Genomic DNA, 19,375 nt, shown 5'->3' with positions numbered 1-19,375 from the left:
ACCACACCCACACACCACACCCACACACCCACACCCACACCCACACCCACACACCACACCCACACACACCACACCCACACACACCCACACACCACACCCTAACCCTAACCCTAACCCTAACCCCTAACCCCTAACCCCTAACCCCTAACCCCTAACCCCTAACCCTAACCCTAACCCTAACCCTAACCCTAACCCTAACCCTAACCCTAACCCTAACCCTAACCCTAACCCTAACCCTAACCCTAACCCTAACCCTAACCCTAACCCTAACCCTAACCCTCACCCTAACCCTAACCCTAACCCTAACCCTAACCCTAACCCTAACCCTAACCCTAACCCTAACCCTAACCCTAACCCTAACCCTAACCCTAACCCTAACCCTAACCCTAACCCTAACCCTAACCCTAACCCTAACCCTAACCCTAACCCTAACCCTAACCCTAACCCTAACCCTAACCCTAACCCTAACCCTAACCCTAACCCTAACCCTAACCCTAACCCTAACCCTAACCCTAACCCTAACCCTAACCCTAACCCTAACCCTCCCTACCCTACCCTACCCTACCCTAACCCCTAACCCCTAACCCCTAACCCCTAACCCTAACCCTAACCCCTAACCCTAACCCTAACCCCTAACCCCTAACCCTAACCCTAACCCCTAACCCCTAACCCTAACCCTAACCCTAACCCTAACCCTCACCCTCACCCTCACCCTCACCCTCACCCTCACCCTAACCCTACCCTAACCCCTAACCCCTAACCCTAACCCTAACCCTACCCTAACCCTAACCCCAACCCCAACCCTAACCCCTAACCCCTAACCCTAACCCTTAACCCTAACCCCAACCCCAACCCCAACCCCAACCCCAACCCCTAACCCCAACCCCAACCCCAACCCCAACCCCACCCCTACCCCTACCCCAACCCTAAACCCAAACCCTAACCCCAACCCCAACCCCAACCCCAACCCCAACCGCAACCCCAACCCCAACCCTCACCCTCACCCTAAGCACATGAGGAATGTGGGTGTTATATTTTGGGTATCATGTGTGCATTAGGAATGCTGCATTTGCGTTCCGACGCTGCAAGTGGACCCTGCAATGCAGCCCCTCCCCTTGCCTTGGGAGAATCTCGGTGCGCAGCATTCAGAGGGGCTTTTGCTTTCCCGTTTTCCGCACTGAACCGCTCTAACTGGTCTCTCACCTTGATTATTCATGGCTGCAACCGGGAAACATTTTTATTCACCGTTGATGCGCCCCGAGTTGTCCCAAAGCCAGTCAGTGGCCCCAACGTCTGTGCTTAGGGGAATGCTGCTCCACCTTTACGGTGACCCCCAGGTCTGTACTGAGCAGAACGCAGCTCCGCCCTCGCGGTACCCTCAGCCCGCCCGCCCGGGTCTGACCTGAGGAGAACTCTGCTCCGCCTTCGCAGTACCACCGAAATCTGTGCAGAGGACAACGCAGCTCCGCCCTCGCGGTGCTCTGCCGCTCTGTGCTGACGAGAACGCAACTCGGCCGTCGCAAAGGCGCGCCGCGCCGGCGCAGGCGCAGAGAGGCGCGCCGCGCCGGCGCAGGCGCAGAGAGGCGCGCCGCGCCGGCGCAGGCGCAGAGAGGCGCGCCGCGCCGGCGCAGGCGCAGAGAGGCGCGCCGCGCCGGCGCAGGCGCAGAGAGGCGCGCCGCGCCGGCGCAGGCGCAGAGAGGCGCGCCGCGCCGGCGCAGGCGCAGAGAGGCGCGCCGCGCCGGCGCAGGCGCAGAGAGGCGCGCCGCGCCGGCGCAGGCGCAGAGACACATGCTAGCGCGTCCAGGGGTGGAGGCGTGGCGCAGGCGCAGAGACGCACGCCTACGGGCGGGGGTTGGGGGTGCGTGTGTTGCAGGAGCAAAGTCGCACGGCGCCGGGCTGGGGGCGGGGGGGTGCGGGGGCGCCGTGCACGCGCAGAAACTCACGTCACGGCGGCGCGGCGCAGAGACGGGTGGAACTTCAGTAATCCGAAAAGCCGGGATCGACCGCCCCTTGCTTGCAGCCGGGCACTACAGGACCCGCTTGCTCACGGTGCTGTGCCAGGGCGCCCCCTGCTGGCGACTAGGGCAACTGCAGGGCTCTCTTGCTTAGAGTGGTGGCCACCGCCCCCTCGTGGCGCCGGGGCACTGCAGGGTCCTCTTGCTTACTGTATAGTGGTGGCACGCCGCCTGCTGGCAGCTACGGACATTGCAGGGTCCTCTTGCTCAAGGTGTACTGGCAGCACGCCCGCCTGCTGGCAGCTGGGGACACTGCTGGGCCCTCTTGCTCCAACAGTAGTGGCGGATTATAGGGAAACACCAGGAGCATATGCTGTTTGGTCTCAGTAGACTCCTAAATATGGGATTCCTGGGTTTAAAAGTATAAAATAAATATGTTTAATTTGTTAACTGATTACCATCAGAATTGTACTGTTCTGTATCCCACCAGCAATGTCTAGGAGTGCCTGTTTCTCCACAAAGTGTTTACTTTTGGATTTTTTGCCAGTCTAACAGGTGAAGCCCTGGAGATTCTTATTAGTGATTTGGGCTGGGGCCTGGCCACGTGTATTTTTTTAAATTTCCACTGATGATTTTGCTGCATGGCCGGTGTTGAGAATGACTGCGCAAATTTGCCGGATTTCCTTTGCTGTTCCTGCATGTAGTTTAAACGAGATTGCCAGCACCGGGTATCATTCACCATTTTTCTTTTTGTTAACTTGCCGTCAGCCTTTTCTTTGACCTCTTCTTTCTGTTCATGTGTATTTGCTGTCTCTTAGCCCAGACTTCCCGTGTCCTTTCCACCAGGCCTTTGAGAGGTCACAGGGTCTTGATGCTGTGGTCTTGATCTGCAGGTGTCTGACTTCCAGCAACTGCTGGCCTGTGCCAGGGTGCAAGCTGAGCACTGGAGTGGAGTTTTCCTGTGGAGAGGAGCCATGCCTAGAGTGGGATGGGCCATTGTTCATCTTCTGGCCCCTGTTGTCTGCATGTAACTTAATACCACAACCAGGCATAGGGGAAAGATTGGAGGAAAGATGAGTGAGAGCATCAACTTCTCTGACAACCTAGGCCAGTAAGTAGTGCTTGTGCTCATCTCCTTGGCTGTGATACGTGGCCGGCCCTCGCTCCAGCAGCTGGACCCCTACCTGCCATCTGCTGCCATCGGAGCCCAAAGCCGGGCTGTGACTGCTCAGACCAGCCGGCTGGAGGGAGGGGCTCAGCAGGTCTGGCTTTGGCCCTGGGAGAGCAGGTGGAAGATCAGGCAGGCCATCGCTGCCACAGAACCCAGTGGATTGGCCTAGGTGGGATCTCTGAGCTCAACAAGCCCTCTCTGGGTGGTAGGTGCAGAGAGGGGAGGGGCAGAGCCGCAGGCACAGCCAAGAGGGCTGAAGAAATGGTAGAACGGAGCAGCTGGTGATGTGTGGGCCCACCGGCCCCAGGCTCCTGTCTCCTCCCAGGTGTGTGGTGATGCCAGGCATGCCCTTCCCCAGCATCAGGTCTCCAGAGCTGCAGAAGACGACGGCCGACTTGGATCACAATCTTGTGAGTGTCCCCAGTGTTGCAGAGGTGAGAGGAGAGTAGACAGTGAGTGGGAGTGGCGTCGCCCCTAGGGCTCTACTGGGCCGGCGTCTCCTGTCTCCTGGAGAGGCTTCGATGCCCCTCCACACCCTCTTGATATTCCCTGTGATGTCATCTGGAGCCCTGCTGCTTGCAGTGGCCTATAAAGCCTCCTGGTCTGGCTCCAAGGCCTGGCAGAGTCTTTCCCAGGGAAAGCTACAAGCAGCAAACAGTCCGCATGGGTCATCCCCTTCACTCCCAGCTCAGAGCCCAGCCAGGGGCCCCCAAGAAAGGCTCTGGTGGAGAACCTGTGCATGAAGGCTGTCAACCAGTCCATAGGCAAGCCTGGCTGCCTCCAGCTGGGTGGACAGACAGGGGCTGGAGAAGGGGAGAAGAGGAAAGGGGGGTTGCCTGCCCTGTCTCCTACCTGAGGCTGAGGAAGGAGAAGGGGATGCACTGTTGGGGAGGCAGCTGTAACTCAAAGCCTTAGCCTCTGTTCCCACGAAGGCAGGGCCATCAGGCACCAAAGGGATTCTGCCAGCATAGTGCTCCTGGATTAGTGATACACCCGGCACCCTGTCCTGGACAAGCTGTTGGCCTGGATCTGAGCCCTCGTGGAGGTCAAAGCCACCTTTGGTTCTGCCATTGCTGCTGTGTGGAAGTTCACTCCTGCCTTTTCCTTTCCCTAGAGCCTCCACCACCCCGAGATCACATTTCTCACTGCCTTTTGTCTGCCCAGTTTCACCAGAAGTAGGCCTCTTCCTGACAGGCAGCTGCACCACTGCCTGGCGCTGCGCCCTTCCTTTGCTCTGCCCGCTGGAGACGGTGTTTGTCATGGGCCTGATCTGCAGGGATCCTGCTACAAAGGTGAAACCCAGAAGAGTGTGGAGTCCAGAGTGTTGCCAGGACCCAGGCACAGGCATTAGTGCCCGTTGGAGAAAACAGGGGAACCCCGAAGAAATGGTGGGTCCTGGCCATCCGTGAGATCTTCCCAGGGCAGCTCCCCTCTGTGGAATCCAATCTGTCTTCCATCCTGTGTGGCCGAGGGCCAGGCTTCTCACTGGGCCTCTGCAGGAGGCTGCCATTTGTCCTGCCCACCTTCTTAGAAGCGAGACGGAGCAGACCCATCTGCTACTGCCCTTTCTATAATAACTAAAGTTAGCTGCCCTGGACTATTCACCCCCTAGTCTCAATTTAAAAAGATCCCCATGGCCACAGGGCCCCTGCCTGGGGGCTTGTCACCTCCCCCACCTTCTTCCTGAGTCACCCCTGCAGCCTTGCTCCCTAACCTGCCCCACAGCCTTGCCTGGATTTCTATCTCCCTGGCTTGGTGCCAGTTCCTCCAAGTTGATGGCACCTCCCTCCCTCTCAACCACTTGAGCAAACTCCAAGACATCTTCTACCCCAACACCAGCAATTGTGCCAAGGGCCATTGGGCTCTCAGCATGACTATTTTTAGAGACCCCGTGTCTGTCACTGAAACCTTTTTTGTGGGAGACTATTCCTCCCATCTGCAACAGCTGCCCCTGCTGACTGCCCTTCTCTCCCAGAGAAACAGGTCAGCTGGGAGCTTCTGCCCCCACTGCCTAGGGACCAACAGGGGCAGGAGGCAGTCACTGACCCCGAGACGTTTGCATCCTGCACAGCTAGAGGTCCTTTATTAAAAGCACACTGTTGGTTTCTGCTCAGTTCTTTATTGATTGGTGTGCCGTTTTCTCTGGAAGCCTCTTAAGAACACAGTGGCGCAGGCTGGGTGGAGCCGTCCCCCCATGGAGCACAGGCAGACAGAAGTCCCCGCCCCAGCTGTGTGGCCTCAAGCCAGCCTTCCGCTCCTTGAAGCTGGTCTCCACACAGTGCTGGTTCCGTCACCCCCTCCCAGGGAAGCAGGTCTGAGCAGCTTGTCCTGGCTGTGTCCATGTCAGAGCAACAGCCCAAGTCTGGGTCTGGGGGGGAAGGTGTCATGGAGCCCCCTAGGATTCCCAGTCGTCCTCGTCCTCCTCTGCCTGTGGCTGTTGCGGTGGGGGCACAGGAGGGATGGAGTCTGACACGCGGGCAAAGGCTCCTCCGGGCCCCTCACCAGCCCCAGGTCCTTTCCCAGAGATGCCTGGAGGGAAAAGGCTGAGTGAGGGTGGTTGGTGGGAAACCCTGATTCCCCCAGCCCCCGGAGACTTAAATACAGGAAGAAAAAGGCAGGACAGAATTACAAGGTGCCGACCCAGGGCGGGCAGCGGCCCTGCCTCCTACCCTTGCGCCTCATGACCAGCTTGTTGAAGAGATCCGACATCAAGTGCCCACCTTGGCTCGTGGCTCTCACTGCAACGGGAAAGCCACAGACTGGGGTGAAGAGTTCAGTCACATGCGACCGGTGGCTCCCTGTCCCCACCCCCATGACACTCCCCAGCCCTCCAAGGCCACTGTGTTTCCTAGTTAGCTCAGAGCCTCAGTCGATCCCTGACCCAGCACCGGGCACTGATGAGAAAGCGGCTGTTTGAGGAGCCACCTCCCAGCCACCTCGGGGCCAGGGCCAGGGTGTGCAGCACCACTGTACGATGGGGAAACTGGCCCAGAGAGGTGAGGCAGCTTGCCTGGGGTCACAGAGCAAGGCAAAAGCAGCGCTGGGTACAAGCTCAAAACCATAGTGCCCAGGGCACTGCCGCTGCAGGCGCAGGCATCGCATCACACCAGTGTCTGCGTTCACAGCAGGCATCATCAGTAGCCTCCAGAGGCCTCAGGTCCAGTCTCTAAAAATATCTCAGGGGGCTGCAGTGGCTGACCATTGCCTTGGACCGCTCTTGGCAGTCGAAGAAGATTCTCCTGTCACAGTTTGGGCTGGGTGAGCTTAGAGAGGAAAGCTTCACTATGGCTCCCAAACCAGGAAGGAGCCATAGCCCAGGCAGGAGGGCTGAGGACTTCTGGTGGCGGCCCAGGGCTTCCAGCATGTGCCCTAGGGGAAGCAGGGGCCAGCTGGCAAGAGCAGGGGGTGGGCAGAAAGCACCCAGTGGACTCAGGGCTGGAGGGGAGGAGGCGATCTTGCCCAAGGCCCTCCGACCGCAGGCTCCAGGGCCCGCTCACCTTGCTCCTGCTCCTTCTGCTTCTTCTTCTCCAGCTTTCGCTCCTTCATGCTGCGCAGCTTGGCCTTGCCGATGCCCCCAGCTTGGCGGATGGACTCTAGCAGAGTGGCCCAGCCACCGGAGGGGTCGACCACTTCCCTGGGAGCTCCCTGGACTGGAGCCGGGAGGTGGGGAACAGGGCAAGGAGGAAAGGCTGCTCAGGCAGGGCTGGGGAAGCTTACTGTGTCCAAGAGCCTGCTGGGAGGGAAGTCACCTCCCCTCAAACGAGGAGCCCCGCGCTGGGGAGGCCGGACCTTTGGAGACTGTGTGGGGGGGCCTGGGCACTGACTTCTGCAACCACCTGAGCGCGGGCATCCTGTGTGCAGATACTCCCTGCTTCCTCTCTAGCCCCCACCCTGCAGAGCTGGACCCCTGAGCTAGCCATGCTCTGACAGTCTCAGTTGCACACATGAGCCAGCAGAGGGGTTTTGTGCCACTTCTGGATGCTAGGGTTACACTGGGAGATACAGCAGTGAAGCTGAAATGAAAAATGTGTTGCTGTAGTTTGTTATTAGACCCCTTCTTTCCATTGGTTTAATTAGGAATGGGGAACCCAGAGCCTCACTTGTTCAGGTTCCCTCTGCCCTAGAAGTGAGAAGTCCAGAGCTCTACAGTTTGAAAGCCACTATTTTATGGACCAAGTAGAACAAGATATTTGAAATGGAAACTATTCAAAAAATTGAGAATTTCTGACCACTTAACAAACCCACAGAAAATCCACCCGAGTGCACTGAGCACGCCAGAAATCAGGTGGCCTCAAAGAGCTGCTCCCACCTGAAGGAGACGCGCTGCTGCTGCCGTCGTCCTGCCTGGCGCCTTGGCCTACAGGGGCCGCGGTTGAGGGTGGGAGTGGGGGTGCACTGGCCAGCACCTCAGGAGCTGGGGGTGGTGGTGGGGGCGGTGGGGGTGGTGTTAGTACCCCATCTTGTAGGTCTGAAACACAAAGTGCGGGGTGTCTAGGGAAGAAGGTGTGTCAGCAGGGAGGTCCCCGGCCCAGCTCCCATCCCAGAACCCAGCTCACCTGCCTTGAGAGGCTCGGCTACCTCAGTGTGGAAGGTGGGCAGTTCCGGAATGGTGCCAGGGGCAGAGGGGGCAATGCCGGGGCCCAGGTCGGCACTGTACATGAGGTCGTTGGCAATGCTGGGCAGGTCAGGCAGGTAGGATGGAACATCAATCTCAGGCACCTGGCCCAGGTCTGGCACATAGAAGTAGTTCTCTGGGACCTGCAAGATTAGGCAGGGACATGTGAGAGGTGACAGGGACCTGCAGGGGCAGCCAACAAGACCTTGTGTGCACCTCCCATGGGTGGAATAAGGGGCCCAACAGCCTTGACTGGAGAAGAGCTCTGGCAAGGCCCTGGGCCACTGCACCTGTCTCCACCTCTGTCCCACCCCTCCCACCTGCTGTTCCAGCTGCTCTCTCTTGCTGATGGACAAGGGGGCATCAAACAGCTTCTCCTCTGTCTCTGCCCCCAGCATCACATGGGTCTTTGTTACAGCACCAGCCAGGGGGTCCAGGAAGACATACTTCTTGTACCTACGGAGGCGACATGGGGGTCAGGCAAGCTGACACCCGCTGTCCTGAGCCCATGTTCCTCTCCCACATCATCAGGGGCACAGCGTGCACTGTGGGGTCCCAGGCCTCCCGAGCCGAGCCACCCCAGTCACCCCCTGGCTCCTGGCCTATGTGCTGTACCTGTGTCTGATGCCCTGGGTCCCCACTAAGCCAGGCCGGGCCTCCCGCCCACACCCCTCGGCCCTGCCTTCTGGCCATACAGGTTCTCGGTGGTGTTGAAAAGCAGCAAGGAGCTGACAGAGCTGATGTTGCTGGGAAGACCCCCAAGTCCCTCTTCTGCATCGTCCTCGGGCTCCGGCTTGGTGCTCACGCACACAGGAAAGTCCTTCAGCTTCTCCTGAGAGGGCCAGGATGGCCAAGGGATGGTGAATATTTGGTGCTGGGCCTAATCAGCTGCCACCCCATCCCAGTCAGCCTCCTCTGGGGGACAGAACCCTATGGTGGCCCCGGCTCCTCCCCAGTATCCAGTCCTCCTGGTGTGTGACAGGCTAAGTTATGTGCGCAGCCAGCAGACCTGCAGGGCCCGCTCGTCCAGGGGGCGGTGCTTGCTCTGGATCCTGTGGCGGGGGCGTCTCTGCAGGCCAGGGTCCTGGGCGCCCGTGAAGATGGAGCCATATTCCTGCAGGCGCTCTGGAGCAGGGTACTTGGCACTGGAGAACACCTGTGGACACAGGGACAAGTCTGAGGGGGCCCTAAGAGGCTCAGAGGGCTAGGATTGCTTGGCAGGAGAGGGTGGAGTTGGAAGCCTGGGCGAGAAGAAAGCCCAAGGTACAGGTGGGCAGCAGGGCAGAGAATGGGCGGCCTCAGAGGCATGGGGAAATGGAGGGACTGCCCAGTAGCCTCAGGACACAGGGGTATGGGGACTACCTTGATGGCCTTCTTGCTGCCCTTGATCTTCTCAATCTTGGCCTGGGCCAAGGAGACCTTCTCTCCAATGGCCTGCACCTGGCTCCGGCTCTGCTCTACCTGCTGGGAGATCCTGCCATGGAGAAGATCACAGAGGCTGGGCTGCTCCCCACCCCCTGCACACCTCCTGCTTCTAACAGCAGAGCTGCCAGGCCAGGCCCTCAGGCAAGGGCTCTGAAGTCAGGGTCACCTGCTTGCCAGGGCCGATCTTGGTGCCATCCAGGGGGCCTCTACAAGGATAATCTGACCTGCAGGGTCGAGGAGTTGACGGTGCTGAGTTCCCTGCACTCTCACTAGGGACAGGCCCTATGCTGCCACCTGTACATGCTATCTGAAGGACAGCCTCCAGGGCACACAGAGGATGGTATTTACACATGCACACTGGCTACTGATGGGGCAAGCACTTCACAACCCCTCATAATCACGTGCAGCAGACAAAGTGACCTCTGCAGAGGGGGAACGGAGACCGGAGGCTGAGACTGGCAAGGCTGGACCTGAGTGTCGTCACCTAAATTCAGACGGGGAACTGCCCCTGCACCTAGTGAACGGCTCACTGAGCAAACTCTGAGTCCCGACCACCGCCTCAGTGTGGTCTAGCTCCTCACCTGCTTCCATCCTCCCTGGTGCGGGGTGGGCCCAGTGATATCAGCTGCCTGCTGTTCCCCAGATGTGCCAAGTGCATTCTTGTGTGCTTGCATCTCATGGAACGCCATTTCCCCAGACATCCCTGTGGCTGGCTCCTGATGCCCGAGGCCCAAGTGTCTGATGCTTTAAGGCACATCACCCCACTCATGCTTTTCCATGTTCTTTGGCCGCAGCAAGGCTGCTCTCACTGCAAAGTTAACTCTGATGCGTGTGTAACACAACATCCTCCTCCCAGTCGCCCCTGTAGCTCCCCTACCTCCAAGAGCCCAGCCCTTGCCCACAGGGCCACACTCCACGTGCAGAGCAGCCTCAGCATTCACCGGGCACGAGCGAGCCTGTGTGGCGCGCAGGGATGAGAAGGCAGAGGCGTGACTGGGGTTCATGAGGAAGGGCAGGAGGAGGGTGTGGGATGGTGGAGGGGTTTGAGAAGGCAGAGGCGCGACTGGGGTTCATGAGGAAAGGGAGGGGGAGGATGTGGGATGGTGGAGGGGCTGCAGACTCTGGGCTAGGGAAAGCTGGGATGTCTCTAAAGGTTGGAACGAATGGCCTAGAATCCGACCCAATAAGCCAAAGCCACTTCCACCAACGTTAGAAGGCCTTGGCCCCCAGAGAGCCAATTTCACAATCCAGAAGTCCCCGTGCCCTAATGGGTCTGCCCTGATTACTCCTGGCTCCTTGTGTGCAGGGGGCTCAGGCATGGCAGGGCTGGGAGTACCAGCAGGCACTCAAGCGGCTTAAGTGTTCCATGACAGACTGGTATGAAGGTGGCCACAATTCAGAAAGAAAAAAGAAGAGCACCATCTCCTTCCAGTGAGGAAGCGGGGCCACCACCCAGCGTGTGCTCCATCTTTTCTGGCTGGGGAGAGGCCTTCATCTGCTGTAAAGGGTCCTCACCCTGACCCTGACCCTCACCCTGACCCTGACCCTAAAACCCTGACCCTAAAACCCTGACCCTAACCCTGACCCTGACCCTAACCCTGACCCTGACCCTAACCCTGACCCGGACCCTGAACCCTAACCCGGACCCTGAACCCTAACCCCGACCCTGAACCCTAACCCCGACCCTCACCCTGACCCTCACCCTCACCCTGACCCTCACCCTACCCTGACCCTCACCCTGACCCTGACCCTGACCCTCACCCTGACCCTGACTCTGACCCTGACCCTCACCCTGACCCTGACCCTGACCCTCACCCTGACCCTGACCCCTGACCCTGACCCTTGACCCTGACCCTGACCCTGACCCTTGACCCTGACCCCGATTTCATTCATTTGATCTTCAATCACTGATACCCTTTCTTCCAGTTGATCGCATCGGCTACTAAAGCTTGTGCATTCGTCACATAGTTCTCGTGCCATGGTTTTCACCTCCATCAGGACTTCTCTGCATTGGTTATTCTAGTTAGCCATTCATCTAATCTTTTTTTCAAGGTCTTTAACTTCTTTGCACTGGGTTCGAACTTCGTCCTTTAGCTCGGAGAAGTTTGATCATCTGAAGCCTTCTTTTCTCAACTCGTCAAAGTCATTCTCCGTCCACCTTTGTTCCATTGTTGGTGAGGAGCTTTGTTCCTTTGGAGGAAGAGAGGCGCTCTGATTTTTAGAATTTTCAGTTTTTCTGCTCTGTTTTTTCCCTATCTTTGTGGTTTTATCTACCTTTGGTCTCTGATGATGGTGACGTACAGATGGGGTTTTTGTGTGGATGTCCTTTCTGTTTGTTAGTTTTCCTTCTAACAGTCAGGACCCTCAGCTGCAGGTCTGTTGGAGTTTGCTGGAGGTCCACTCCAGACCCTGTTTGCCTGGGTATCAGCAGTGGAGGCTGCAGAAGAGTGAATATTGCTGAACACCAAATGTTGCTGCCCGATCGTTCCTCTGGAAGCTTGGTCTCAGAGGGGTACCCGGCAATGTGAGGTGTCAGTCTGCCCCTACTGGGGGGTACCTCCCAGATAGGCTACCCGGGGGTCAGGGACCCACTTGAGGAGGCAGTTTGTCTGTTCTCAGATCTCAAACTCCGTGCTTGGAGAACCACTACTCTCTTCAAAGCTGTCAGACAGGGACATTTAAGTCTGCAGAGATTTCCGTTGCCTTTTGTTCGACTATGCCCTGGCCCCAGAAGTGGAGTCTGACAGAGGCAGGCAGGCCTCCTTGAGCTGTGGTGGGTTCCACCCAGTTCAAGCTTCCCAGCCACTTTGTTTACCTACTCAAGCCTCAGCAATGGCGGGCACCCCTCCACCAGCCTTGCTGCCACCTTGCAGTTCAATCTCAGACTGCTGTGCTAGCAATGAGCGAGGCTCCGTGGGTGTGGGACCCTCCGAGCCCAGGCGTGGGATATAATCTCCTGGTGTGCGGTTTGCTAAGACCGTTGGAAAAGCGCCAGTATTAGGGTGGGAGTGACCCTATTTTCCAGGTGCCATCTGTCACAGCTTCCCTTGGCTAGGAAAAGGGAATTCCCTGACCCCTTGTGCTTCCCGGGTGAAGGCGATGTCTCGCCCTGCTTCGGCTCAAGCTTGTGGGCTGCACCCACTGTCTGACAAGCCCCAGTGAGATGAACCCAGTACCACAGTTGGAAATGCAGAAATCACCCATCTTCTGCGTCACTCAGGCTGGGAGCTGTAGACTGGAGCTGTTCCTATTCCATGTCTTTATCTTTTAATTGGGTTGTTTTTCTTCTTGTTGAGTATTAGAATGTCTTTGTATATTTTGCATGCAAGTCTTTTTTTCAGGCTTGTTTTATAAATATTTTCTCTCAGTGTGTGCCTTATTTTTTGATTCTCTTAACAGGATATTTCACAGAGTAGTCATTTTAAATTTTAATGATGTCCAAATTATCATTTTTTTTCTTTTATGGACTGGCTTTTGGTATTGTATCTAAGAACTCATCACCAACCCAAAGTCACGTGGATTTTCTTCTATAAAACTTTTACAATTTTATATTTGATCATTTAAGGCTACAGACTATCTTGAGTGATTTTTTGGGGGTGAGCTATGAAGTTTTTGTCCACATTCAGTGTTTTCCGTATGGTTTCCGATTGTCTATTGCCATTTGTGGAACAGACTTTTCTTTCCCCAGTGAATTGCTTTTGCCCCTTTGACAAAATCAATTGAATGTATTTACTCGGGTTTTTTGGGTTCTGTATTGTGTTCTGTTGAGCTGTTTGTCCATTCCTTCACCAATATCACTCTCTTCATTGCTTTAGCTTTGTGGTAAAGCTAACAATAATGAGTGTACTGCTCCTAAACAAGGAGTATCTGCATTTGATTTAATATTTTTGATTCTTCTCAACCGTGATCTAAAGTTTTCTGAATGCATATTTGTATGTATTTTGTTAGATTTATACCTAATAAATTAAATTTGGGAATGCTATTGTAAATGGTATTTTTTTCAAATTTCAAGTTCAAATTATTCCTATACATTATTGCTGATGATAGAAAGAAAATCAGGCAGTGTGTGGTGGCTAACGCCCGTAATCCTAGCACTTTGGGAGGCCTAGTTGGGAGGATCATTTGAGCTTGGGAGTTCTAGACCAGCCTGGGCAACATAGTTAGACCTGCCCCGCCCATAAAAAATAAAATAATAAATAAAGGAAAATCAGGTGGTGCCGGACACAGTTGTTCACACCTGTAATCCCAGTGTGTTGGGAGGCTGAGGCTGGAGAATTTCTTGAACCCGGGAGCTGGAGGCTGAACTCGGGAGCTGTGATTACACCACTGCACTTCAGCATGGGTGACAGAGCGAGACCCTGTCTCTTAAAGAGAAAAGAAAGAAAATCAATTAAGTTTTGCCTACTGGCCATCTTTTTTTTGAGATGGAGTTTGGCTCTGTCACCCAGGTTGGAGTGCAGTGACATGATCTTGGCTCACTGCAACCTGCGCCTCCTGGGTTCGAGCAATCCTCCTGCCTCAGCCTCCTGAGTAGCTGGGATTACAGGCACGTGCCGCCATGCCCAGCTAATTTTTGTATTTTTAGTATAGATGCGGTTTCACCATGTTAGCCAGGCTGGTCTCAAACTCTGGACCTGAAGTAATCCGCCCGCCTCAGCCTCCCAAAATGCTGGGATTACAGGCATGAACTGGCCATCTTCTTTGCTTCCTTGCTCCATGAGTTCCGATCAAGGCATGGGATGGTGGGCTCCATTTCAGTCGTAATTTCCAAAATCCACAGCCTGGAAAAATCTAGACGCTGATTTTCAGAGACTCCCCATGGCTGCCGCAAGGGGGCGCATGGCCCCTGGCAACTCGGGGCGCCGTGCACGCACCGCGTCTCATCCACACAGCGGCAGTCACTTTGCGGCCACTATGAGGACTGAGCTTCCTCTCCCCAGGACCCGCATGGGAGAGACCGCGGCTTCGAGACACCTGGGGACACCTGGGGACACCTGGGGCGGCGTCCGCGGTGAGGACTGGGAGACGCTGCTGCATCTCCGGGACACCACTTGGGGCCGAGGCCAAGGTGAGGAAAAGGCTTCCCGCCCCCGGTGTGAGTGTGGCGGAGCGAGCGCGGCTGCATTTCCCGTCGTGCACTTTGTAGCAGGACCTCACTTTGTAGGAGATTCCCCTTCATGGAGGCTTGGGCGGGTCACCCCCAGTTCAGGCCAAGATGCAGGTTACGGATGTGAGTTTCTTTCTGGGAAGAGACCCTGGTACCGGGAGAGGAGGAAGAACGCGGAGACGCTGTCGGGAGATCAGCCTGAGGCCGAGGAAACAGGCCCCTGGGATCAGTGCTGGATGTTTGTTTTTGATTTTGTTTTTTGCTTTTTGTTTTTTTTTTTTTTTTTTTTTTTTTTGGAGACGGCGTCTCGCTCTGTCACCCAGGCTGGAGTGCAGTGGCGCAATCTCCGCTGACTGCAACCTCTGCCTCCATGGTTCAAGCGATTCTCCTACCTCAGCCTCCCAAAGCTGGCACTACAGGAGCAGGCCACCATGTCCAGCTAATTTTTATATGTTTTGTAGAGACGGGGTTTCACCACGTTGACCAGGATGATCTCAATCTCCTGACCTCGTGATCTGCCCGCCTCGGCCTCCCAAAGTGCTGGGATTACAGGTGTGAGCCACCATGCCCTGCCCTCTTTCTTTTTGAGAGGAAGCCCCACTCTGTTGACTAGGATGGAGTGCAGGTGTGCAATCTCTGCTCACTGCAACCTCCGCTTCCTGGGCTCAAGCGATTCTCCTCCCTCAGCCTCCCAAGTAGCTGGGACTACATACAGTTGTTGCCCACGGCGCCCAGCTAATTTTTTTTTTTTTTTTTTTTTTTGTATTTTTAGTAGAGACGGGGGCTTCACCATGTTGGCCAGGTTGGTCTCGAACTCACTGAGCTCAAGTGATCCTCCTGCCTCGGCCTCCTAAAGTGCTGGGATTACAGGCGTGAACTGGCCATCTTCTTTGCTTGCTGTCTCCATGGGTTTCGGTCGGGGCACGGGATGGTGGGCTCCATGTCAGTTGAAATTTCCAAAATCACGGCATGGAAAAATCCAAACGCTAATTTTCAGGGATTCTCCACGGCTGCCATTAGGGGGCCCGGCCAAACCCGGAGCGCCACAGTAGAACTGCGTCTGATCCGTACAGCGGCATCCCTGGGTGTGAGGACTGTGAGGACGGAGTTTTCTCTCCTCAGGACCCACCCAGGAGGGGCCATGGCTTCGAGACACCTGAGGAGACCTGGGGCCACGTCCGCGATGAGGACATCTCTGGGACACCTGGGGCTGCATCTCCGGGACACCTGGGGCTGACCCTGGTACGGGGAAAGGAGGAGGAACACAGAGATGCCCTCGTGAGGTCGGGGACCAGCAGGCACCGCAGTCTAAGGCCAATGAAACAGGCGCCCCTAGATGAGTGCTCGGTGTTTGTTTTGTTTTGTTTTCTTTTGAGAAGGAGTTTCGCTCTTGCTCCCCAGGCTGGAGTGCGATGTCGCGATCTCGACTCACTGCAACCTCTGCCTCCCGGGTTCAAGCGATTCTCCTGCCTCAGCCTCCCGAGTAGCTGGGGTTACAGTCATGCGCCATCACGCCCGGCTAATTTTGTAGTTTTAGTAGAGACGGTGTTTCTCCATGTTGATCAGGCTGGTCTCGAACTCCTGATCTCAGGTGATCCACCCACCTCGGCCTCCCAAAGTGCTGGAATTACAGGCGTGACCCACTGGGCCCGGCCAGTGCTTTGTGTTTTAAGGCTCTTTTGTTAACGCAGTGGAAACAACACAGGAAATGGAAAAGCAGGCACATTATCATTCTCAGGCCACTGCATTTAGCCTGGGCGACAGAGCGAGACCTTGTCTCAAAAAACAAAAACAAATGAAAACAAAAACAAACCATTTTGTGTGTCTAATGGAAGTCACCTCGTCAACAACAGTCTTTTGTTGAGAAAGTCTGTTTAATTGGCAGTGTATTTGTAATGGTACATAAAATGACGTCTGCTTTATAAGCATTCTCATTCCTATATTAGATGAAATGTATTAACTATATCAAGCTTTGATATTATACCATAAAATTACTTGAAGAAAGTCACTACTCTTTTTTTTCCTTTACCTTGACCATTTTAAATAAAATCATATTTCATTAAGGTTAGTTAATACTGAGCTGTAAATATGTATGGTCCTGGGGTCTTTTCTTTCTTTTTTCCTTTTTTTTTTTTTTTTTTTTGAAACGGAGTCTCGCTCAGTCTCCCAGGCTGGAGTGCAGTGGCGCAATCTCGGCTCACCGCAACCTCCACCTCCTGGGTTTGAGCAATTCTCTGCCTCAGCCTCCTAAGTAGCTGGGATTATAGTCACTTACCACCATGCCTGGCTAATTTTTTTTTTTTTTATATTTTTAGTAGAGACGGGGTTTCACCATCTTGGCCAGGCTGGTATTGAACTCCTGACCTTGTGGTCCACCCACCTCGGCCTCCCAAAGTGCTGGGATTACAGACATGCGCCACTGCTCCTGGCCTCTTTTCTTTTTTTGACATGGAGTCTCACTTTGTTGCCCAGGCTGGAGTGCAGTGGCGTGATCTCGGCTCACTGCAACCTCTGCCTCCCGGATTCAAGTGATTCTCCTACTTCAGCCTCCCGAGTACCTGGGATTACAGGCCTGAACAACCATGCCCAGCTAATTATTTTTGTATTTTTCATAGAGATGATAGGGTTTTGCCATGTTGCCCAGACTGGTCTCAAACTTCTGGGCTCAAGCAGTCTGCTTGCCTCAGCCTCTCAAAGTGCTGGGATTACAGGCATGAGCCACCATGCCAGGCCTGTCTCATTCCAATAAGGAATTATTAGCTTTTTCTGAGCACCACTGTGTGCAGGTGTCTTGCTCAGGTGAACTCACAGCAGTCTGCTAGGTATGGCTAGCACCCTGTGCAGAGGGGAGGGCCAGGCTTAGGTGACTGAGTGACTCACCTACAAATTACACAGCCTCCAGTGGCTTCACTCTCAGGTTCCAGCCCAGAACCAGCTCTCCAGGGCCCACTCAGGGAAAGTTTATGAGTTGAATGAAGAGGTGTCCAGGCCACACAGGAGAGGCATCCCAATTGTGGGTTCGTTTATGTGATCATGAGGTAGCCCAGGTCACACATGGAGCCTCATGAGCCACACAGCCCCTGTTATAAATACACTAGCCCGGGGCTCCCCAGAGCCCAGCTCCAGGAAGTGGATTCACACTAGTATTTTTATACTTGGTTAGAGCTGAGGATGCCTGTACCTCGCTTCCGTCCACACCCCTCCCACTCTCTGGATGCTAAAGATACATTCTGGGGCCTGCCTCGCCCCCACAGACCAGGATCCAGCTCTGCTGAGGCTCCCCACAAAACCCCAGAAGCTCTGCAGGCATGCAGGGTGGGAGGGCTGCCTATCTGAGCCAGAAGGGGCTTTTGCCTTTGGGGGCATCAGGCTACAGGTACTTCTTTCTGCTCAGGTTGCAGGAAGCATGAGAGCACCCAGGAGAGTTGCTCCCTGTAGCTCAGGACCCAGGGAGCTAACAGTCTCCATTTCATCCTGCCTTCAAAACTTCAGCGCTCCCAGCCCCAAAACACTCTTGATGCAGGAAAGGTGAGCCCAGAAATTGGGGTTTAGCACAGGAGGGCTTTTGGCTTCACCCAGGAAAGAATTCAAGGGCGAGTCGGTGGTATTAGAGAGCAACTTTTATTTAAGCAGCTGTGCACAGTGGCAGCAGAGGTACTGCTCCTTATGGAGCAGGGATGCCCCATAGGCAGTCAGCCCAGAGTAGCAGCTCAGAGGCAGTTCTGCACACATATTTATACCCACTTGTAACTATATACAAATTAAGGAGGAGGTTATTTAGAAATTTCTAGAAAAGGGGTGGTAACTTTCAGGTCATTGCCATGGAAAGGGGCAGTAATTTCCAGCTGTTACCATGAGAACGGCAAACTCACTTGGCACCAGTGGGTGTGTCTTATGGAGGGGTGCTTTTGCCTGTTTCAGCTAGTCTGTAATCTGGTCCAGAGTTCAAGCCCTGCCTCAGGAGTCAGGTCCCACCTCCTATCTCAGTCTGGTCACAGCCCTAACTAGGCAGATGATCCCAATGTCAGCCCAAAGCCCAGCAGTCAGGCCCTCCTGTGATCTGCCTGGGGCACCCAGGAAGGGGATGGGGCATGCTGGGATGGGCCATGATGTGTTGGGCCAGAAGTCAGGCCCTCTAGGTTGAAGTCCTAACCCCAGTAGCTGTGAATGTGACCTTATATGGAAACAGTGTCTTTGCAGATGATCAAGTTAAGATTAAATCGTTAGGGCCAGCCTTAATTCACTATTATTGTGATTTTAAAAAGGGGAAATTTGGACACAGAAATGCACACAAGGAAAAATCCCTGTAAAGACTGGAACTTTGGCCAGGCACGGTGGCTCATGCCTGTAATCCCAACACTTTGGGAGGCAGAGACAGACGGATCACTTGATATCAGGAGTTTGAGACCAGCCTGGCCAACATAGCGAAACACCGTCTCTACTAAAAATACAAAAACTAGCCAGGCGTGGTAGCAGGTGCCTGTAATCACAGCTACTCCAAAGGCTGAGGCAGAAGAATTGCTTGAACCTGGGAGGAGGAGGTTGCAGTGAGCCGAGATTGTGCCATTGCACTCCAGCCTGGGCAACAAGAGCAAAACTCCGTCACAAAAACAAAACAAAAGAAAGATTACAGCTTTGGTGTCACAAGCCAAGAAACTAACAGAAGCTGAAGAGAGGCCTGAAACTAATCCTTCCCTAGTGCCTTCAGAGGGAGCATGGCCCTGCTGAGAGAGTATAAATGGGACTCGGCCCACCCCCACTAACGTATTGTTCCATACGTGCCCGCTGACCACTAGACCTTGCAGCACCACCCTCCAGGTGCCATACTCGCTGGCCAGACCTTGCCAACTGTCTGAAATAAACTAAGATAAGCAGCATCCCGCCATAAGTCTTACTGACGGGAGTTGACTCCATCACCTGCTTGTGCACAAGGCCAGGAGAATGACCCTGGTCTTATGATAATACTAAAGTCCTCACCCAGGGAGGGGCTTATCTGCCATTTTCTGATCATGCAACGTATGTGTTAGCATGCGTCTGAGCACCCTTCGCTCCACCCCATATGTGCAATGACACTCATGTAGCTCATAAATTATGTATGTCAC

General features: G+C 54.9%; 1 long non-coding RNA gene and 2 pseudogenes across 2 annotated transcripts; 2 read left to right on the top strand and 1 right to left on the bottom strand.

The window, feature by feature from the left end:
- The first annotated feature begins 2,712 nt into the window (after window positions 1-2,712).
- On the top strand, window positions 2,713-5,238 carry DDX11L16 (DEAD/H-box helicase 11 like 16 (pseudogene); annotated as a pseudogene). The gene is made up of 3 exons (NR_110561.1): window positions 2,713-3,066; window positions 3,452-3,560; window positions 4,059-5,238. The product of NR_110561.1 is annotated as a DEAD/H-box helicase 11 like 16 (pseudogene) (transcript).
- Window positions 5,226-9,238, bottom strand: WASH6P (WASP family homolog 6, pseudogene; annotated as a pseudogene).
- WASIR1 (WASH and IL9R antisense RNA 1) lies at window positions 14,066-16,332 on the top strand. Its single transcript, NR_138048.1, has 2 exons — window positions 14,066-14,234; window positions 15,271-16,332. It is a non-coding gene; the product is annotated as a WASH and IL9R antisense RNA 1 (long non-coding RNA).

This window comes from Homo sapiens, chromosome Y, assembly GCF_000001405.40.
Source record: "Homo sapiens chromosome Y, GRCh38.p14 Primary Assembly".
NCBI lineage: Eukaryota > Metazoa > Chordata > Mammalia > Primates > Hominidae > Homo > Homo sapiens.
The sequence above is the reverse complement of the archived record's forward strand: the minus strand, read 5'-3'. Positions and strand labels throughout refer to the sequence as shown.